The sequence below is a fragment of the Homo sapiens genome, chromosome 20, assembly GCF_000001405.40.
Source record: "Homo sapiens chromosome 20, GRCh38.p14 Primary Assembly".
In the NCBI taxonomy this organism is placed as follows: Eukaryota; Metazoa; Chordata; class Mammalia; order Primates; family Hominidae; genus Homo; species Homo sapiens.
Genome location: NC_000020.11, coordinates 24,979,159 through 25,000,648, shown reverse-complemented (window position 1 = coordinate 25,000,648; position 21,490 = coordinate 24,979,159). Strand labels below are relative to the sequence as shown.

At 47.1% G+C, this 21,490-nt stretch overlaps 1 protein-coding gene across 2 annotated transcripts in view, besides 9 other annotated features; it reads left to right on the top strand.

Moving 5' to 3' along the window:
- Positions 5,333 to 5,492: an enhancer, noted in NCBI's record as "active region_17657". NCBI's record gives its function as "activates an Ori minimal core promoter by ATAC-STARR-seq in GM12878 lymphoblastoid cells {active_cell/tissue: GM12878}" and the evidence as "EXISTENCE:reporter gene assay evidence [ECO:0000049][PMID:35858748]".
- Positions 7,344 to 7,844: an enhancer, noted in NCBI's record as "H3K27ac hESC enhancer chr20:24973441-24973941 (GRCh37/hg19 assembly coordinates)". NCBI's record gives its function as "activates a minimal SCP1, AML or CMV promoter by ChIP-STARR-seq in naive H9 embryonic stem cells {active_cell/tissue: H9 hESC(naive)}" and the evidence as "EXISTENCE:reporter gene assay evidence [ECO:0000049][PMID:30033119]".
- Positions 7,344 to 8,345: a biological region, named in NCBI's record as "H3K27ac hESC enhancers GRCh37_chr20:24972940-24973440 and GRCh37_chr20:24973441-24973941".
- Positions 7,757 to 7,996: an enhancer, noted in NCBI's record as "active region_17656". NCBI's record gives its function as "activates an Ori minimal core promoter by ATAC-STARR-seq in GM12878 lymphoblastoid cells {active_cell/tissue: GM12878}" and the evidence as "EXISTENCE:reporter gene assay evidence [ECO:0000049][PMID:35858748]".
- Positions 7,845 to 8,345: an enhancer, noted in NCBI's record as "H3K27ac hESC enhancer chr20:24972940-24973440 (GRCh37/hg19 assembly coordinates)". NCBI's record gives its function as "activates a minimal SCP1, AML or CMV promoter by ChIP-STARR-seq in naive H9 embryonic stem cells {active_cell/tissue: H9 hESC(naive)}" and the evidence as "EXISTENCE:reporter gene assay evidence [ECO:0000049][PMID:30033119]".
- Positions 7,898 to 21,490, top strand: part of APMAP (adipocyte plasma membrane associated protein) — a 29,827-nt gene continuing 16,234 nt past the window's right edge. For both annotated transcript variants that reach the window (XM_005260763.4, NM_020531.3), the window contains exons 1-2: positions 7,898 to 8,055; positions 16,630 to 16,746. In XM_005260763.4, the coding sequence (XP_005260820.1) occupies positions 7,961 to 8,055; positions 16,630 to 16,746 (212 nt within the window). In that variant the 5' untranslated portion in view covers positions 7,898 to 7,960. The remainder of the gene's footprint in view (positions 8,056 to 16,629; positions 16,747 to 21,490) is intronic.
- Positions 8,127 to 8,206: an enhancer, noted in NCBI's record as "active region_17655". NCBI's record gives its function as "activates an Ori minimal core promoter by ATAC-STARR-seq in GM12878 lymphoblastoid cells {active_cell/tissue: GM12878}" and the evidence as "EXISTENCE:reporter gene assay evidence [ECO:0000049][PMID:35858748]".
- Positions 8,227 to 8,286: an enhancer, noted in NCBI's record as "active region_17654". NCBI's record gives its function as "activates an Ori minimal core promoter by ATAC-STARR-seq in GM12878 lymphoblastoid cells {active_cell/tissue: GM12878}" and the evidence as "EXISTENCE:reporter gene assay evidence [ECO:0000049][PMID:35858748]".
- Positions 19,502 to 20,002: an enhancer, noted in NCBI's record as "H3K4me1 hESC enhancer chr20:24961283-24961783 (GRCh37/hg19 assembly coordinates)". NCBI's record gives its function as "activates a minimal SCP1, AML or CMV promoter by ChIP-STARR-seq in naive H9 embryonic stem cells {active_cell/tissue: H9 hESC(naive)}" and the evidence as "EXISTENCE:reporter gene assay evidence [ECO:0000049][PMID:30033119]".
- Positions 20,764 to 21,264: an enhancer, noted in NCBI's record as "H3K4me1 hESC enhancer chr20:24960021-24960521 (GRCh37/hg19 assembly coordinates)". NCBI's record gives its function as "activates a minimal SCP1, AML or CMV promoter by ChIP-STARR-seq in primed H9 embryonic stem cells {active_cell/tissue: H9 hESC(primed)}" and the evidence as "EXISTENCE:reporter gene assay evidence [ECO:0000049][PMID:30033119]".

The window sequence follows — 21,490 nt, the reverse complement described above, 5'->3', positions numbered from 1 at the left end:
ATCTAAATGGAAAATATTGCATAATGTTCCACTGATGTTTAGCAGCATCTCTGGCCTTCCCCCCACAGATGCCAGTAGCATCCTACCTAGTCATGATCATAAAAATTGTTGCCAGACATTGACAAATGTCCCCTGGTGGACAAAATGGCCCTTGGTTGGGAAGCACTGGGTTAGACCAACCGGAACCCACCTCTAACCCTGGCACTCACTTCCATTAGAACACTGGCCCACGTGGAGGACGTTTATCTCAACAAAAACAGGTTCTGCCAGCATGTCAGAAGAGGCACATGATGCTGGCAGGCAGCCCACAGTGTGCCTCACAGCTCAAACCAGAAGCAAACCCTACTTCTAGTCCAGTGCTTTTTCCCAGTCCCATGCTGTTTCAACTCCTTCCACTCTCAGGAGGCTGGGGTCTTCAAATCTGTAAATTCTAACAACTCCCCAGGTGTTTTGCACAGTCAGCCAGGCCCTGGTCCAGTCAACCAGTGTTTGGAGATCACTGACTAAGCCTAAGTTTTATTTCAACTTAAGATAGGGACCTGGATAGAGAGAACTTTCAAGCTAGGCAACAGGTGTTTTTGTTTTTGTTTTATTTTTTAGACTTTTGGGGAGGGGATGGAATATAACAAACTTATACAGAAAAGTGTACAAGTGTACAAACTTACATAGAAAAGTGTACATAAATATGCAGCTAAACAAGCTGATATAAAACAAAACCCAGGTAACCCCCTCCAAGGTCATGATACAAAACATCAGCATTTCAGATGCCACCCCCACCCATTCCTGATCATAATCTGTGTCCCATGGCTAAATCACAGCCTTGCAGAGTCCCAGCCCAGCAGAGGAGAGGGGTGTTTCGTCAGCGTCTCACCTGCATCCCTGCAGCCCCTCCCAGCCCAGAGCTGCCTCTCAGGTGTCTTCTGCAGGCGGGCAGTCCCTCAGGTCCCCAGTACAAATTGGTGGTGGCAGTGATTCTCCAAGGTCTCCAGTCTCAGAGACACTGGACTCAGGTTCCCCAAATTGGAATGCTCTACGTATTTCTCTATTTCCTATTTGCTTTTAAAGTGCTAATCTGTTGCAAATTTAGTTTTTAAAAGTATTTTAAAACTCCCAATGCACAAGCAGTACCCCAGACCAGTGATACCAGAATTTCTGGGGTGTCACGTAGGCATCTTTCCAGATGATTCCAACATGCAGCCAAAGTTGAGAGCCACTGTCTTAAAGTTCAGCCCCTCTGGGGTGACACTATAAAGCACAGCCACAATTCATGATGCCCGGTTGAAGCCTTTGCCTCTGCTGCCTGGCATACGCAGCTCCTTTTCCCTTCCATGGAATGCCTCTGAGTCCAGTTGCTGCCATTGTGAAGGTACCCACACTCTCATTATGGAGCCCAACACTGTCATGGCCTCCTGGCATAGGGCACTCGGAGGAAGGAAACTGGAGAAGCAGGACCTGAGCCATGGGAAGGGAAGGAGAAGGTGTTCATCTCCTTAGGGTTGCCTCTCTGGTGTGTGCATGTAAACAAAGAGTGGAGCGAGAAACTTGGCCCCTGAGAAAACGCAAATGCTTTAAGTCAGTTACTGAGTTCAGGAGACCTTCCTCCTGTGAGTTCATAAATGATTTGCTTCCCTATAAAGACTTAGGAGCTCTGTGACACTTACTGAAGTGAAAGCGAGAGTGTTCAGAGCTTGCGTCTGCAGTCACATACTGATAAACACGGCGAATAACACCAATCCAAATCCCCAGTGCCTATAGCAGTGCCCAGCATGTGAAAGTGCCCAGTGGTATCTGTAGAATGAAGAGTGAACAGACGTCACACTGACCTAGCTGATGTGTGGGAAGAACAGAGCTTTGGCCTGGTGGAGAAAGGCAGGGAATGGAGGCGCTGGCTCAGGCTCTGGAGTTCTGCAGTGGAGGGAGGGGAATAAACTGCTATGAAGGCACAGGGCAGACCTATGAAGAAGGCAAGAACTATGTGGGACACGAAAATCCTCCTGCCTGCTGCCTTGGCTCACAAGCATCAGAGTGAGGAAATGAGGGTGTCCTCACCCACCCTGCTCTCTGGAGGGCAGAAAGGGAAGAAACAGAGAAGATAGGCTCAGTTTATCCGTCTGGGGGAGAAGAGTCATGCTTTTGTTCAGTTGTCCAGCTGCTGCTTCTCCTTCTATTAAGGCCATGGGAGAGTGGAGGTCTCCCTGTCAACTTGCTCCCTATCAGCCATCCTACAGGAATGCCATTACCCCCCAAACTTGCCACTTGTGGGTGCCTGAGTTTGCACTTTGTTCTGTTCCAGTGGCTGTTGCTAATCGTGAAACTGAGGCTCCCACCTGTGCCAGTCTTTATTCCAGATACAAGAAAAGTTGTTGGTTAGTGCCCATGGAACTGGACCACAGGGAGCCACCCCTGGCTATGGAGGTGACAAGCTAGAGGGCAAGAAGCCTATCCTAAACAAACCCAGAACTAGTAGATGGAAGGGAGCTGGGTGTTCCATACCCTAGGACGTTACCAGTACGCACCTGAGTTTGGAAACCTTTTGAGATAACTAACATTGCCAACTTCTTTTGCAACAGGGTGGAACTTCTCTGGCAAGAGCCATCAGTTGGTTAATCTTGGGTTTTCTAGTCTCTCTGTTCCTGTAGATCCAAACTTTTGCCACACAGCCTTCTGCATGAACAAACACATTGGGCCAATTCCTTCCTAAAGAAGGACATTACCTCACCCAAACAACACATCTCTTCATTACTGAGAGCCAAAGAAACATTGAACTCTTACAAATATGCATAAGTTTTTTCAACAGAAAAAAAAGCAGGACAGGAATCATCAAAATGGAAATGATTACAGTTGACCCTTGAACAAAGTGGAGGTTGGGGGTGCCAACCCCCAGTCCAGCTGAAAATCCACATATAACATTTGACTCCCCCAAAACTTAACTATGAATAGCCTACTGTTGGCCGGAAGCCTTACTGATAGCTGTAAACATTGAATTAACACATATTTTGTATGTCCTAAGTATTATATACTGTATTCTTACAGTAAACTAAGCTAGAGAAAAGAAAATGCCATTAAAAATCATAAGGAAGAGAAAATATTTTTACTATTCATGAAGGTGAAGTGGATCATCATGACGGTCTTCATCTTCATTGTCTTCACATTGAGTAGGCTGGGAGGAGGAGGGAGGGGAGGGGTTGTTGCTGTCTCAGGGGTGGCAGAGGCAGAAGAGGTGGAGCAGGTGGAAGGGGAGGCTGGTGTAACTTTTATTGAAAAAACATTCTCCCATGAGTGCACCTGTGTAGTTCAAACCCATGTTGTTCAAGGGTCAAGTGTAGTTACTCTCAAGAGATGGTTTCTGGATGTAATAAAACATGATTAATGAGTGATCTGTGCTAATCATGAAATGTCAGTGTTAAGATTCCAAAGGGAACAAAGGGGCTGGCCATTCACTTTTCAACAACAGACAATCAGGAATGTACATGCCTGTGGTGGAGGTGACTGCTGAACGTCTTTCCTCCTGAGCACTTTTCCTGCCAAGTCTAGGTCGACCTTAAGAATCCTCCACGTGGGCAATTAGGGCAATTTTCCTGGCCAGACTCTCTTCAGTGCTCACCTCTGCTCCTCCCTGCTTCTCATGGGGTGACCACGCATTCAGTGAGCCTGTCCTGCCCTTCTGCCTACAACAGGGAGGCTGCTGTGTTGTTCCCGTTGAATGGTCAATGGGCCACGGGGTCTTATCCTCTAACATGGATCATCAACCTCACCAAAGTTGGGAACATCAGATTCTCAGTCCAGGAATCAAGACTTGGAGACGGAGACCATAGTTAGTTGGTGTGGGATACTTGAAATGGGAGAGCCAGGGAGAGTTGGGCTTAGGCGATGCTTTTTCACCATGGATATGTCCAGGTAGACAATGCTAGCCTGTTGGCCCTGAGGAGCAGTGCAAATTGCTCCCCTGAGAGCTGCCTCAATGCATAAAAGGACTGTTTCTCTCATGTGATAGGCAGCCCTGAGGTAGGTGGTTGCTGGCTGTGGTGAACAGCTCAGGGGCACCATTAAGGACCTAGGCTCTTCTGTTCTGGGTGTGTTTTTTAGACATCAAGGTGTATTCCTGTGGTGTTAAGATGCTGCTGCTCCATGCTTAACTCTCGGGTTCCAGGCAGGAGAAGAAGGGGCAGTGCTAGTCCCATTTGTCCCTTTTATCAGAAATGCAAAAACTTTCCTAAAGTTCAAAATAGTCACTATATTTCTGTTTTTATCTTGTGCCAAAATACTGCCTATGGCTGCATTAGCTTTGACAGCTGGATGAGTAACACTGATCTTTTCCAGCTCTCCAGGGGAGGGCAACAAAAGAGAAAGGGCCAGCCCAGCAGGGCGTGCCATGTGAGCACGGAGGGGTGCAGAGACAGGACAGTGTGAGGCACCAGGAGGCAGAGGGTGACTCTGCCCCTGTGTTCCCAGGTCTTTGTTCCAGTCCCTGTGAGGCCTGGCTGTACTTTCTGAGCCTGAGTTCCATAAGGTATCCCCAGATCCTTCCAATGCATCCCTCCCTCATTCTCCGCCAGCTTTGGTGGATGTCTGTTTCTGGTAGCTGCATGGTCTCTAAGGTGCTTTTCCTGCGGTGAACAAACTAGTGTACATTGCCTAAGTTTACTGTCTCCACTGTCCCACCTGAATTAAAACTGGAGCTTCCCACCACGACATCCCACCACGACAGAACAACTTCCCTTGCAGCCCTTTTCCGAGTTGGCAGCGCCTTCTGTGCTTTCCTGGACTTGTGGGGAAGAAGGGGTTCAGCTACTTCCTGCTCTGCTTTGCCCTTTTCAGACTATTCTTTCTTTGCTAAAAATATTTATTTTTATTTTTTGTTTTTGTGGGTACATAACAGGCGTATATATTTGTGGCTATTCTTTCTGATCACTCAGTAACCCTGATGTCCATCCCTGATCATCACCCCCTTGTTTAACAATCCCTGGGCACCCCACTCATCCCTCTTAGCCTGTTTCTTGTCCTTCTCTATCCCCCAACCTCCCCCTCCCCCCGCCATTATAATCTTATTTATCTAAGTCCTGGTGCAAAGCCCCTTCCTCCAAGAAGACATCTCTGGTCAGTCCCATCTAATAGCACTTGTTCCTCCTTGCAGCCCCAAGGTACCCTGCAGCTCTTCTGCAGCAGTGCTTTATAGTGTCGTTCGTTACGCTTCCTCTCTCCCCTCCAAGATGATAACGCCTGTGCAGGCTGGATCACTGTATTTCACCCTTGTTTTGTCACCGCACTTGGCATCTGGCAGGCTTTCAGGAGATCTCTGTGGAAGGAGTTGAAACAGCATGGGACTGGGAAAAAGCACTGGACTAGAAGTAGGGTTTGCTTCTGGTTTGAGCTGCGAGGCATACTGTGGGCTCCCTGCCAGCATCATGCGCTTCTTCTTCCATGCTGGCAGAGCCTGCTTTTGTTGAGATAAATGCCCTCCACGTGGGCCAGTGTTCCGATGGAAGTGAGCCTCATCCCCAGTGCCAGGGTTGGGTGTGGGTTTTGGTTGGTCTCACTCAGCGCTTCTCAACCAAGGGCTGTTTTGTCCTCCAGGGGCTATCTGTCAATGTCTGGCAACATTTTTTATCATCACGACTAGGTGGGATGCTACTGCCATCTAGTGGGGGAAGCCCAGGGATGCTGCTGAAACACCAGCGCACAGGAGAGGCCCCCCTCCGCCTCCTAACAGAATTATCTGGCCCAAAATATCAGTGGTGCTGAGAAACCTGATCAAATTAATCATAGTGGTCCCATTCCTCTGCCAACAACTGGCATCAGCACGATGAGAAACAAAGTCGGTCTGGTTGGAAGGTGGGGTGGGAGAACTGATAACTGAAACAAATACAACAAGCAAAGCGTGCTTCACCGTGACTTGAAAACAGAAAAACTGTACTGAACCCGTGCTATGCAGCACAAATGATCTAGCTCAGACCACTGTAACACCAACTACCTACGTGCTTCATGATAAGCCCACGAGCTGACCTCCTGATAACTCCGAATGGACTTACATGTCCCAGAGCTAAGGCCACGGTTCCTCCAGTGACTCCCGTTGTTAACGGATTCTGACCAACCCTGGGCAAGACTATCGATGGACTAACTCCAGCCCCCAAACCCCACAAGGAGTCTCCCATGACTCCCCCATTTTGAGGAACCTCACCGGTCCTCTGGTGCATTTCTTTGCTGCAGCAAGTTCAGTAAACCCAACTTACTGCCATTATTTTTCTTCTGAATGTGTCCCTGGGTGTTTGCAGTGCGTGGGCTTTAACACTGGGCATGGAACACAAATAGCTCCAATGCAGTGAGTTCAATGTTATGGCTGGGACATGTTTAAAGTGCCTTGAAGACAAAGAGGAAGATGTTCTGCTTGGGAAACTGGGAGAAGAATTTTCAGCAAGGATACTTGAAGTGGGTCCTGAATGATAAAAATAATTGGCCAAGTGGAGGTGAAGGAGAGTGTATCACAGGAAGAAGGAACCTCAAGGACAAAGGCAGCCAGGCATGAGATTAGACATGTTAAGCCATCCTGAATGTCTGAAATGGGGGGTGGGGAGCAAGAGGGATAGTCCAGACAGGCAGGAAGGCGTGAGATCATACAGTACTTTGTTAACACTATCCCTGATTTAATAGCTGTATTGGCTATTCTCAATGACACAGAATGAAGTAAAATGTTGTCGAGGCCTGAATTATTACCTGGGATCTCTGGAGAACTGGATTTGCACAGCTCTCCACTTCCCTCAAGCTGGTTCTTCCGCTCTTTGAATGAATAAATAAAAAGCATTCACATGGAATTCTAGTGCCATCTAGCATTTAAAAAGGTAAAAGCCTCCAAGAGGAAATTATTTCTTAACACTGCATTTTGAACATGGCTTTTCCAGAGATAATTCCTCGTGCCACTGGTAACGGGCTTTGATTTCTTCTGCCTGTCACTTCCTCCAGATTCGATTCCTCTTTGAATCTCAAATGCTCTCACAAGATTCAGCTCTTCCCTTTTGAAGCAATTATTACGTTTGATAATTTTACGTCTATTTTATGATGATGATCTGATTAAAGTCATCTTTCCCACTAGTTTAATTTCTATAAGGAGGGGCCTTGTCTGTGATTTGCCCACCATCGTCTCCCAGCACCTGGGAACATTTCTGGTTTCCTGCAATACTGTTGAAAGAACAATGCCTCTCTATGCTTTCTTAAACTTTGTTAGTGATAATTTCTACTTCTACCTGGACTTTACTTAAGGGTAATCCTTAATAAACTTTATCAAAACTTAATAAACTTTATCAAAACTTAATAAACTTTATCAAATGTCTGTTGTAATCGTCACAAAAAGATTTAATACTCAACATCTGGCCTTAACCAGAGGGAAACATTTTCTAGCCCAAGTTTTCCCCTTAACCGGCTGAGTCGGGGAAGGATGTAATTTTCAGGCAGAGGTGACTTCGTTCCAAGGGTGTGAATGCATTATTTTTGACGCTGCCTGTAAGAGCAGGGTCGCTGACACTGAATAAACAGCGCTATCCTCTCCAACGATAAAAGTGGCCAACATCTCGTGCTAGCAATTCCCAAGTGCGTCATGAGCATCCCCGTCCTCAGAAACGTGAGACGAAGGCGGCATGCGCAGGCACTGGGCTAGACGAGCCCGAGGTTGAACCACTCGCGTTCTGGGCCCCGGAGTCCGAGACAGGCGGGGACCCCGGCAGCTCCCGGTGCTATCTCTGAGCGGGTTCCGAGCCCCACTTCCGGGCGGTCAGAATTAGCCTCAGAGCGCCGAGCAACGACGCGCCGGGGACCTCCCGCCCATGAGGCCGGAAGGGGCGGGGAGAACGCTGCGGAATGGTCCCTGGGCGCAACGTCATTTCCGCGTACGGGGGAGGGCGGGCCTGGAGTCTGAGCCGGCGCCGCTCAGTGTGAGGTGGTTTCTGCGGGTGAGGCTGGCGCCCGTACCATGAGCGAGGCGGACGGGCTGCGACAGCGCCGGCCCCTGCGGCCGCAGGTCGTCACAGACGATGATGGCCAGGCCCCGGAGGCTAAGGACGGCAGGTAGGGCGGACTCCCAGACTGGGCGCTGGAGCCGGGCCGCTAGGAGTGGAGGGCGACCCTCTTGGACAGCGGCGACGGCAGTAACAGTAACCTGGGGATGCGGTGCCGAGCGCGTTGTCAGAGTCCTCTCGTTTCATCCCCAAGAAAAACTCATTTTTCCGAGGAAGCAGGCTCCGACAAGGCGGATGTACCTGCCAGGTCTTTCAGGTTCGGGTGCACCCTGCGCCCAGTCGCCGCGTTGTCCTCGGCTCTCCGGACCCGAGACCGCCTCGCGCCGCTCCTTTGCCTTCCCTCCCTCACTCCTGCCCCACCCTGCATAGCGGTTGCTTCCTCGCCTTTCCCTCGCTCCCCTCGCGCTGTCCTTCCTTTGGCTTAAATGATCCCCCTGAGCACAGCTACTTGGCCGGGGCCCTGCGTGTTCCTGGTTCCCCGCTCGCAATTTCCCGAAGGGAGGAGGTCCCACGAGATGCTGGGGTCCTGCCTCGTTATCCGGCGAAGAGATGGCTTCTACACTTGCTCTTCTGCACCTGCCCCCCTCACGCTGCGTGACCAGTCCTCACCGCGGTTCTTGGAAAGAGTGGAGAACAGTAGTGACATTGTAGGCAATTTTTGTGAGAATTCAGCCTGGCAGTTTTTCCTGATAGGGATGGAGAAACATAGGAAACTGTAGTTGTTGACACCTAAGAAATATCAGGTTTTGCCCTTTGCCTCCTCTCCCATCTTTCAGAATATAAGAATGCTGTGTTTTGTTAGCTAAAAACTGAATCATGATTCGTAAGCATAGATTTCAATATAAGATACTTAAAATTCACTTTTCAATTCTGTGTCCTGAATTTCATAACTTTTAAGTTTCAGGGAGAATCAAGAGGCCCCATAGACCAAGCTTGAAGTTGTGGGACTGATTGACTTATATTTGATAGAAATACTGGAAATATTTGTTCATCAGTAGTGTGCCAAGAGGTGGTGGGGTACATATGAATGAGAGGCAGTTTTTGCCCCTGTAGACTGAGTTTATTGACTGATGATAAGAGGAACACATTTGAAGGAGAGCGATGGCAGGAAGGAGCATTTAGGCTCTAGAGAGGCAATTTAGAGAGAAGACTTTGCGGTGATAGTTGACTCCTTGGGCCAGTGAAAAGATCGGGAAGATGCTCCCATATATCCTGACCAACCATCCTGCGTTGCCCTGGACTGGGGTTTCCAAGGATGTAGAACTTTCAGTGCTAAACCTGGGCAAACTGGGACAATCTGATCACCCTACTTACTGTGAATATTGTGAATTAATCATCTGTTGATGATTGAGGAGCCATTTAGAATGGACATGCAAGAATTGGCAACACTTTCCTACAGAAATCTTGAAAACAAGGCATTTTTACCTGAGAAATGGAAGAGCAGTGGCCTGAGTTTGTCATTAGGTGCAGTGTGTTGAAAACCAGGGCCTACAGCCCCTGAGGGCACCGGTTAGGTAGTCCCAACTCTCAAGTTGGCTGGCTCACACTTCTGGCCCCAGGGCAAGCAGGCAGACTTAATTGTTTTTTTCAGGTTCTCTGTGGGGATTTCTTCCTTAATGAGTAAGTAAATCTGATTCTAAAGTCATCTTTTACTGCCTGATCTTTTCCAGTGTGCCTTTTACATTTATGTTTACTTATTTCCTTGACTTCCCTGTCCATGAACATTGTTCCTGTTTCCCTGTGTTTGTCCTTCTTGTTTGTTTATCCCTTTTCTGTATATCTGTAATGATCTCTTTCAAAGTGAGGTCTTGTCACCACCCTTCCTTTCCGCAATTATTATTGTAACATGGTAGCTGTTTTTCTTATTTTTCTTCTGCATTTCTCCTATATTTTTCATTTATTTTGTGGTCATTTCTAGTAGTTCATGTAATAGTATTCTTGATTACCTTAAAAGTCGAGGGTTCAACATAAGCCAGGAAAGCCTGTGTATAGTGGGCGAAGTAAAGGAATCTAAATTCAGAAGTAAAAACACGAAACTATTAGAATAAACTTTAGCACTTTAGATGTGCTAAATAGAATAAAGGAAGCCTTGAAAGACATATTACTAAACTGACAGAACTAAGACATAGATTTTAGCAGTGGTAGGGACCCCTAGTAATACGTTGGGTGGTCTCCCAACTCTTGGCACAAAAGGTGGGTGTTTGCTTTGTTTTGCTGATGAGATCATTGAGGTCTATGTGTGTGAGGTGGTTTATATGAAGTTACAGAGAATAGAGTCAAAAGAGAAATGAAAATGAATGAAGAAGGATAGAACTGGCAGCTGGACAATGACTGAGAAGTGTATTTTTAAAATTATGCTTTGGAAATAAGACTTTATGCCAAAGCTCTTGAATTACTGTATTTGAAATATAATGGAGAATTTGGTTGGTAAATTCTTTTATTCAGTGTGGAACATAGATGAGCTAAGTACTTTAACATACCGGTGCAAGCTTATAATTATTATTTGACATTGATTTCCCGAAATGCTTTAGAAACTTAATTGTACTCTGTGGAACTATTCCTTTCTGTTTGAAACACAGTTCTATCTAGGAAGAGAACTGTTTAATGTCCATATGTGACTGTTTAGGGATGCAGAATAAATACATTGAGGATTTAATATGTTTCAATACATTAAATTCTGTATAATTCTCCTTTTTCAATAAACTTCTGAAGGATTTTAGTTTAATTAAAAGTCTGCTAGGTCCATTTTCCTTTTTCCTCTTGGAGACTGAAGAGTAAGGGAGGAAGTATGGAGAAACAGATTGGGCATTCACGAATTCATGAGGAGTAAGGCAGCTGGAGTGTTTGTCTCAGCTTTGCCCCAGGTGTGTATTTTCAGATGGCTTTTTAAACTTGTTTCTTGATTTCTTAATTTTTTTCAAGGATAAATTGATGAATCTAGGAGCCCCAGTTTAAAGGATTGTGAAAAATGAACAAATTCAAGATGCTGTCACTAAAAAAGATGGGTTGATGCTATCTGATTTTCTCAGGTTCCAGGGATCACCTTGACACATGAGGTTGCTGGTACCCCATGGATTTGGGGCTATCAGGTTTTCCACAACAATCACAGGTGAATTTTGATCTCTTGGAGTCTGCTTGTTGGGACTTCAGTTCAGGACCCAAGGCCCTAATGTCCTGTGTGCAGAGTTAGAGGATACCCTTCAAAATCTGCCAAATTGGCTGGTGAATCTACAGAAGATTGTGTAAATCATGGCCCAGCCAACAGCAGTTGTCAAATCCTGTTGCATCACTGTGGTTGTGCTCTTGCCTTCAGAGAGTGTAGGCAATTTCAGGGTGCAGATGTCCTCATGGAGATGGGCATCCCTCCAGGCTCTTCCGAGAGATTGGGGCAAACAAACTGATTTCTCAAACTGCGCCTGGGAACTAAGTTGCCAGCGTTCCTGGATGTGTCAGCACAGGTTGGGAACCTGCAATGCTTTGTCAGTGAAAATGGATAGGGATCGATACAGTGTTCTTTATTTAAGTTAAAAAAAGAGTAAGAGGGAGGCAGACACCGAGAAAAGACAGAAGAATTGTGGTTAACTGTGAGTTTACAGGAAGCAACACTGATGAGGGCCTGCCGAAAAGTTAATGGACCTTGGGCTAAAATAAGTGTGGCACCCAGAGCAGGGGTCCAGGAGCTGTGCTTACCTCATTTATATAACAAGCTAACTCCATTTCAAGTGCTCAGGAACCACACATGGCTAGTAGCTATTGTATTTCCATCGTTGCAGAAAGTTCTATTGGACAGTGCAGCTCAAGGAGTTTTGTTTAAATTTAAGCTAGTATTTCTAATACGTGACCACAGAACTTTCCAGTGGAGGCTGGATGCTGATCAGGTGAGGTTGAGGAGGTGTTGGTGAAGTCTGACTGGGAAGGGAGCTGCATAGAGTTAGTGGTGTCCAGCTGCACATGAGGAACAACCGATGAAAGAGTTCGCAGGCCCACCCTGTACCTACCAAAGCAGAATCTCTGGCCCAGGTCATCTTGATGTAGCCCATCCAGGAGTTGGCTGCCTTTGGGAACAGTAGACTGAGTGGCCTCTAAATTCTTCTCCAGCTTTAGGAGAGTGTTACTGGTATGGTAGATCCCGCAGCATTGGGACACAAATCTTTGTCAATGGACTTTTGGCCTCCTTTCTGGCTGTAAGCCCCGTGGCTTTCAGTCCTGGCTGGACTTTTTGTTTGGGACATAATTGAGCCTCTAACTATTGTGTGAAGGGGCAACCAGGTATTTAAATGGGGTGCCACCAGCTCTGAATCAGATTACCACATCAAGATTTTAAAAATATAAGCTGCAGTGTGGTAAAGTAGAGGTCACAATGTTGGAGTCAAGACAGATGAGGAAAATCTGCCTTAGGTAGAATGATGTTAGGCAAGGAAAAAGTAGCGTTTTGGCAAGATTGTTACTGTTTATAATGAAGGTCATGAGGTGAAAACACAATGTACCTTCCCTAGAGGGACTCTTCTCTCCTGGGAGTGGGGTGGGTGATGGCATCAGCTTCCTTTAAGGCAGGCAGTCCCTGTTGGACTCAGTACCAGAGTGCAGTGAGGGCAGCTCTCAGGGCTGGCAGCCACACATCTTCACCATCCACCTTTCCATATGCTTTGTCTCTCTTTGGGGTTCACACTGTCAGAAGCGTTTCTGTCATTTACTTGTAACCAGCCCTGCTTTATTGTACAAGTACTTCATTTCTATTGTGTTGGAAGACTTTAGGTCACTTAAAGAAAATCACTTGGGTTGAAGGGTGTCCTAGCCATTGGAGTGGCAGTTTGCATGGTGGAGTCACTGACTTTGTTTTGTTTTTGTTTTTTTTTAACATCTTTATTGAGATGTAATTCACATACCATAAAATTAACCTACTTAAAATGTTCAAATCAGTGATTTTTAGTATAATGGCCAGTTTTGCAGTAATTACCGCAATCCAAGTTTAGAACATTCTTGTCACTGTCAACTTTTTTTTTTAGTTGAGGTGAAATTCGCATAACATACAATTAACCACTTTAAAGTGCACAGTTCAGTGATATTTAGTGTATTCACAATGTTGGGCAACCACCAACTCTCTCTGCTTTCAAAACTGTTTCATCACCCCATAAAAGCAAGGTGTTTACCTTGTACTGATTAAGTAATCACTCCCATTTCCCCCTCCCACACAAATGTTCAGCAGATGAGTGGGGCTAGACATGGTTGCTCATGCCTGCTCATCTCAGGGTGCACTTTGGAAGGCTAAGGTGGGAAGACTGCTTGAGGCCAGAAGTTCAAGACCAGCCTGGACAATGTAGCAAGATGTTTTCTCTACAGAAAGTAAAACAATTAGCCACGTGTGGTGGTGCACACCTGTAGTCCTAGCTACTTTGGGAGGCTGAGACAGGAGGATCACTTGAGCCCAGGAATTTGAGATAACAGTGAGATATGATCATGCCACTGTACTCCAGCCTGGTTGACATACTGAGACCGTGTCTTTATATTTAAAAAACAAAAAACCAGATGAGTGGGCAGCAAGTTGTGGTAGATACATACATAATCAACTGGTAAAAGGAACCATGTACAGATACATACTGCAACTTAGATGGGCCTAGAAAACACACTGAATGAAAGAAGCTAGTCATGAAAGGTCACTTGTTGTATGATTCCACTTATATGAAATGCCTAGAATAGGCAGATCACCATGAATTTTCACAGAGCTTTCAAACTCCCGCTCTGAGGGCTCTAGGTCTGGGCATCCTCCACTCCCTCCTCTTGCTCTTGGCAGGCAGCGCTTCTAATGGTGACCGCAGCCATAGAGTCACATCTGGCTCTCAGTTGCGCTTTTCCAGCTCTTGCATTGGCTGTGGGAAAGCCACTTGAGCCTTTCCCTGCCCACTTCCCTCATTTGTGAAGGAGAGAGATACCTGGTTCCATCTGGTTGCCCACGTAAAGCACATTTCTTGGCATACTCTCATTTGGACTGTTTGCCATTCCTCTTTTCCTGGCCCTTACTCCTTTCCCTGCTGCAGACCTCTCAGGTTGCATGAGCCTGCCGTCATGTCAGGTCGTAGTTCTGTGCTTTGTAGACATTTTTATGCCTGTGGTGCTTATACCCATGACTGGTATAAGTCAGTCACATTAGAAGAAGATTATTTGGTCCTGGGGTTTGGAGACAGGACTGGGAGGGAGAGGTTGACCTGACTTTCCCCTTCATTCTCACCTGCCCTCTTCCAGGAGCTGGGCTCCCTTGGCCTCTCCCTGGTGTGTCTGTGGCATTTTGTTTGTGTTTGTAGGGTCTGGACCACCTCCTTTCCCACCTAATAAAAGGGGTAAGGACTGGCAATGTGGCATTTTACCTGGCCTCAGGTGTACGGGGTGAGCTCTGAACCCCTTATGAGTGAAGGGGAGGAAGTTAGGGACAAAATTCATTTTTGGAAGATTATTAGAAGAAAAATAGACACAGAATTCTCATCAGCAAAGGGAAATGGCAAAGGAAGAAGGCAGTGGTTAACACTGCCCTCGGGCCTGTCCTGCTCTGGAGGAGGAAGCAGCAGGAGAAACCGGGCCTTGCCTTCAACACTGTGCTGGGAAATGTCCTCAGCTGGGTCCAGTTTCAGTGTTTAGAAGCTCTGCTTTTCACATAACTGCAGGACGCGATTCAGCCAAGCTTTCTACCACTGTGTTACAGGATCCACTTTGCTCCAGTTTCCAATCCCATGCTCGTGACATCCTTCTGCACCCTCCCCAGCAGTGCCAGCAGTGTTCGTGCCCAGTTAGGTGTTCTCCCAGGCAATGGTTTTTTTTCCTGCTATGCTCCCCTCTTCCTTCTGAGACCTCACAAGTAGAGTCTTTTAACATCCGTAGTTTTACTAATGTGTTCAAGGAAATCTAGGCTTTTTCTGTGCTGCTCCTCAGAATTCTTCCTTCCTTCACCCACAGCTCTATTCCAAAGCTACTTCCACATTTTTTTAGATATCTGTTACAGCAACACCCCACTTCCAGGGTGCTGGAAACTAATTTACTTAGAAAACTGTTAATTTTTATGGCTGCCATTAACAAATTACCACACAATGAGTGTCCTGAACAACACAGATTTATTATGTAATAGTTTTGTAGGCCAGAAGTCCTGGGCAGGTCTCACTGTGTTAAGATCAGGGTGTCAGTAGGGCTGTGTTTCTGGAGGCTCTGGGGAGGCTCTGTTTCCTGCCCACTCAGGTTGGTGGCAGAACCCAGCCACTCTGCAGAGGTGCTGTCCAAAATGCAAGGGACACTTTGTGAAAGCTGCTCCCTCTTCTTCCCCTTAGTCTTTCCTTTGTCTTTATTTCCACCTACCCCAGTAGAAATAGAGGGATTTCTTTTCTTTTCTGCTTTATTCGTTTGTGAAAAATCTTGCATGTTCAGGACTGGATCATGCATGTTCAGGAAGTTACCCTGCCCAACACCCCGTTTCACACTGGGGGAAACTGTGGGTTTTGGAGTGGAGAAACTGGCCTGCAGTTCCCTGGCTGGTTGTTGGGAAAGAGGGCTTGGCCTTTATGTTTCTACACCATACCCAGAACAGAGTTTAACACGTCTAAATGGCAGAAGACTACACTTCTGTCAAAAATCAAACCCTGCCCCCTTAAATCAAGTCTGTTTTGTTAAGTGTGAGTCTTGACTTTTTTCTTTGTCAACACTTTTTTTCATGGAAGAAAAAAATTCTACCTTAGGAACTCATGATTTTGTTTAAGTTAATATTAATGCCAAGCATTTAGTAAATTTGAGTTCAATTCATGTAAGCAAGTAATGATCCTATGAGGTTTATTTAGTAGCAAGAGGCCAAATGCTTTCACTTGTTTGCCAGATGAGAGATACTGTATGTGAAGATTGGTTCAGAGATATTTAAGGCACTACTGGTCATTTGTCCAAAAACTTCACCCAGGATTCCCAGGGAAGCTTTCATATCTTCCCAAGGGTTCAGGAGTGATGACTTTGAATTGTAATTTTATAGATCCTGTGTGGATAACTGTCAGTATCTGCCAGACTTCTTCTATTAGGTTGAAGATCTGGGATTTCCTTTTAAATTCTTAGAAGTAGGTTGGGAAAAGTGATTGGGGAATTGGATCCTCAGGAAGTTGTTCTGCTTCCATTTCCTTCATGACTTTAGCTGTCTCTTCTATCTGTGAGAATCTTAGGGCTGCATAGTACTGAGTGTTGCTGCTTTGAATCCATACACCGGGAATGCGTAGCTTTTGAGAATTACCCACCTTTTCTGTGGATGAGTGTGTATCATTTATGTCATTAGAACTCTTTTTCCCCATTACATTTTGTGTTCATCAGTTCTTTGAGTTTGCCTTCTTTAAAACCCTCCTGGAGGATTCAAGATCTGGAAAGTAACTGATCCAACGTATCCCACACAGGGGAAGCTGGAAGATTAAAAAAAAAGAACAACAACAAAAGTGTGTTTGCCAATCCTAGCAAATAGTGCTAGAGTTTAATCACAAGCCAGAGGTCGGCCAGCTTGCAGTGGGGAAACTGGATGAGCGTCCCTGCTCCTGCCGGGAGGGCTTTCGGACCAGCCAACCTTGTCACTGTCTGAGACTCAGCTGATTGCCTTTGTATCTTTTATTTCTGGCAGCTCCTTTAGCGGCAGAGTTTTCCGAGTGACCTTCTTGATGCTGGCTGTTTCTCTCACCGTTCCCCTGCTTGGAGCCATGATGCTGCTGGAATCTCCTATAGATCCACAGCCTCTCAGGTAGGCTGCCCCGCAGTCCTCAGGAGGGGTTGCTTGACAAAATGTAATAGGCTGAAATAATTTCCAAGGAAAGGAGGGTGATTAAATCAATCTGATCTGAAAGGTAAGTTAGGAGAAATAGAGTTTTGTGATTTCTTTAGTACCTGGGTTTTTATGCTGAATTAGATGTTACTCAGGAAATATGCATGGTATTTTCCCTGTCATTGTTTTAAAAAAACTGCATCAACCAAAAACAAAAATTCAAAATTAGAGAAGCTTAATAATCATTAGACAGTCAACTATAATTCATTTCAGGTAGCAAAAACACACACAAATGGAGCTTCAGTTACCTCATTTAAATTTTGTAAGTAACTGATTTTCTACAAAACCCATAATTAGTGTTCTTTTTTTCCTAAGTTACCTTTCACCGATAGAGATCTATGAGTAATGCAGTCCATTATAATTTGAAAAAACTATTGTATATGTAAAGCCCCCTGAAATAGATTCATGTTTATAATTATAGTGGGATAGAGCCAGGCTCTCATCAGTGTGACGATCTATGACTTCCATGTTGACATAGTTGCAGGAGGGTTGTGCAGTCTGGTTCAGTAATTTCCTGGTTCCCCTTGCAACTGCTGATGGGGTGAAGCCATCTGAAGCTTATTTTAAATGAGTTAGTCCAGGTAAGGCTTTAAAAACTTCAGACAAGAATTATACCTAGTTAAAGAGTGAATATAACATACTAGCTGAATAATGTAGTGTTTTATCCATAAAAATTAAGGCTTTATATTGGATCCGATTCACTAAGAATGTAGAGGACACGGTTCTGACCTTAGATTGACATGTGTAGCTGAGTGAACTTTTTGTTGTTGGATTTAGAATAGTAAAGGCACAAGGTGCTGTAAACACACAATTTGCTCATGTAAGATTGAGAATGGGTGAAGGACTGGGGACTCTAGTCCGCTCCAAGAGTGTCAGCTCTGTAATTCCTGGTGTGCCAGTGGGTCTTCAGATGGATTTTTCTGCCTGAGCCAGGCCTGAGGACATCCTGTCTCCAAAGGAGGGGCGTCAGGGGTGGGTGGCGGGGGGGGGTCCCCTGATGTGTTGAGGGAGGGGCTTCTCTCTTTCTAACCCTTCTTTACAGAGCAGGATGGCTCATTCTAGCCAAAGGGAAACTGACCTGGGCCTTCTTAGATAGTCCAGTTGGCTAAGGTGGGGGAGTGAACTGTGTCCACAGCTGGGGATTAGAAGCTTGGGTTGGGGGGCTGGCCTTGGAAAAGGAGGCTGAGGTTGAGTTTTGAGTTGGAGAGAGAGGTTGGAGCCTCAGTGATTGAAGACCTTTGATCTCAGGAAAGATGATTTTATGTGTGGAAAGAGTGGTGAAGAAATGCATTGGGAAATGGGGTATGTGGCCCTGGCCAGACACTGAAAGGAAGCAGAGCCTACTGGGGATTGGAAGTTGTTTGTACAAAGTGAGTTCTATCTGTTGAGTAGAAAAGCCTGATGAGGAAGGAAAGGAAGAGAAGCAGTGGAACCGCTGCAGCCAACAGGGACCTCTCTCCTGGGCTCAGCTTTCGGAATGGCAGTGGAACCATCACAGCCAACAGGGACCTCTCTCCTGGGCTCAGCTTTCGGAATGGCAGTGGAACCATCACAGCCAACAGGGACCTCTCTCCTGGGCTCAGCTTTTGGAATGGCAGTGGAACTGTCACAGCCAACGGGTCTCTCTCTCTCTCCTGGGCTCAGCTTTCAGAATGGCAGTGGAACCATCACAGCCAACAGGGACCTCTCTCCTGGGCTCAGCTTATGGCATTGGAATCACAGCCAACAGGGGCCTCTCTCCTGGGCTCTGCTTTTGGCATGGCACACTCAAAAACAGGAAGATAGGCCCCAAAATGCAGAGCAGAAGCAGAAGCCTGGTACATGACAGAGCTTGGTGTGTCTCATGCAAGAACGTGGCCACAACACAGGCCATGCCCCATGCACGCCATCCCAGCGGGTGCTGACTCAGCTGCAGCCCTCTCAGCCCACAGTCACTCTGTGGAAGGACATGGTTTCTCTCCAGAAGGGAACAAAAAGTTTATTTTTCATAGAAGGATATGAATGTTTCTAGTCACTGAAAAAATATCAGTTAAAGTCAAATTTATGGTAAAAAAAAATAGAGCAGCATTTTGGAGAATGGATTTGGTTGCTATAATTTTAAAGACCAACAGAAAGAGTAATTCTACTGGGAGTTGAAAGTTGCAGTACTGTTAGAAGTACACATTTTACTATCGGGTGAAACTGTCAAACTGAGAGATATTAAAAAATAGCAACAACCTTTATGGGTGGTCTGGGACATCAAGAGCAAATAGAAGCACTGTATAAAACTCAGGCAGGGCCAACAGGAGACCCGCTGGGGAGGGAGAGAGCAGTGCCCCACACCCTGGCTTCCTGTGTTAGGGAGAGAGATGTGGGGGACCTCAGAGAGCTGGTTCTCAGAAGTGCTTAGGAAAACCTTTGTGCAGTCTGTGGGTCACAGTGGGTCACTTCTCTGCAGTTGAGTATTACTGCATTAGTGCAGGCTTTCTTCACTTGTGCCAGCCATCCGTGATCATACAGATGCCCTGTTACTCTGTTCACATCTCCCCACGTTGTCACAGGGATCTTGAAAACTACTCTGTACATGCTATAGGAATCAGGATGTCATATATGCTGTGTCTATGACAGCCCTCTAATCTTCCCAGAAAGAAGGGAAAGTGACTTTGCAGGGCAGGTTTTTGGCAAAGCCCTGCAGCCTTCCTGGTGATTTTGTTCTCAAGTACTGAAACCAGCTGTGTAATAGTCCAGACTGGAAGAGCGACCATCCTTCTCTTTGTCCCTCCATACTCCTGGTCTGCCTGTTCTCTGATTTTTTAGAGATTTCTAAGTGTGGTCTAAGCTCTCACGGGAGTGATGTAGTATCCTGGGTAGACTCCCAAACACCCGTCCATCAGCTGAGTGGCCGTTTCTGCCCCGTCTGCTGGCCTGATCCTCTTGACCATGGTGGCCCTGCGCTGCCTGGCGTGTAGAGGTGATGGAGGCCGAGCGAAGCTGGCAGCTCTGCTTGTCATCGTGGCATGGCCTCTTGACCATGGTGACCCCACACTGCCCGGTGTGTAGAAGTGACCGAGGCCGAGCGAAGCTGGTAGGTCTGCTTTTGTCATTGTGGCATGGCCTCTTGACCATGGTGACGCCACGCTGCCCAGTGTGTAGAGGTGACAGAGGCTGAGCGAAGCTGGTAGGTCTGCTTTTGTCATGGTAGCATGGCCTCTTGACTGTGGTGGCCCTGCACTGCCCGGCGCGTAGAGGTGACCGAGGCCAAGCGAAGCTGGTAGGTCTGCTTTTGTCATCGTGGCATAGCCTCTTGACCATGGTGGCCCCGCGCTGCCCAGCGTGTAGAGGTGACCGAGGCCGAGCATGGCCTCTTGACTATGGTGACCCCATGCTGCCCGGCGTGTTGAGGTGACCGAGGCCGAGCGAAGCTGGCAGCTCTGCTTGTCATCGTAGCATGGCACCAATTGCCCCAGGTGGGGTTTCCCTTCCTTCCTCTTTTGCTGTGAAGAGAGCTTTAAAGAAGCTCTTTTTGCTGTTGTCATAAACTTTTCCCCAACGCTTAGCTCCTTCCTGTTCTTGAATTCTCTGCCTTGCTGGAGGCAGGGGACAGGGGATAATCGGAAGATATTCCTCTCTACTTTGGTTTCCTCCAGCAGTGCTCGTTGGGAGCCTTCTGTGTGCCATGTTGGGTGCCAGATGCTGGGAATACAGTAGAGAAAAACACAGAAAGAAATCCCTGATCTCATGGAGCGTATGTTCTAGTGGGGACAAACAGACCATAAACATAACAGAAGCAGATCACACAGTGCATGAGAAGCTGGTGTGTGCTATGAGGAGCATGGAGTAGGGCAGGGGCCTGGGTTCGGGGGAGGTATCGGATATTTAGTTGGGTGGTCAGAGTGGGCCTCCTGGGTGGGGGATGGTTGCTGTTCCAAGTGGAGCAAAGAGCTGGTGTGAAGGCCCTGGATAGGGAGATGCTGGTGTGGTTAGGACCCAGCAGGGAGGGGCTGGTGTGAGGGATGCAGAAGGCACAAGGGAGAGAGGGGGCAAGAAGGTGCTGTGGCCAGGTTGCGGTGCTCAGAGGCTGCTGCCAGGACTTGGCTCTAGGTGAGAGGGGGCCATTGTGGGGCTCTGAATAGAGGAAGGTCATGATCCGGCATGGCTGCTGGATTGAGAATAGACTACAGGGGTCAAGGGAGGGAGCAGGGGCGAGGCGAGAGGATGGTGGCCCCAGCCAGGGTTGTAAGGAGGACATGGGGAGACGGGTTCAATGGTGTCTTTTCAAAGTGGCCTCAGCAGAACTTGATGGTGGGTTGGGAGGCGTGACATACTGGCATGTGGATGGGAAGGACGAGTAGAGGCAGGAGTTTCTGGAGCCGTGTCTGTGAGTAGAAGGGCTCCAGGGCCCAGCTCAGGCTCCTGCTTCAGGAAGAGCCTGGTGGGCCTCGAGAATATCAGCGGGAGGTGGCGTGCCCTGTGCTGGACCATGGGACGGTGGCTCCAGTCCCAGGAAGGTCTCCCCTTGCTCCTTCCATCTTCTCTGTGAAATACGAGGCCGGGTCATCAGGTGTGAAACGTGGGCACTGCCCCCCACCACCCTAGGTAGACTCCAGTGGCTGTAGGGCTGTGAGTCACAGGGGTGAGGAGGTCCAGCTGCCCTGAGGCATTGGATGGGGGTGGGGAGCTGGGG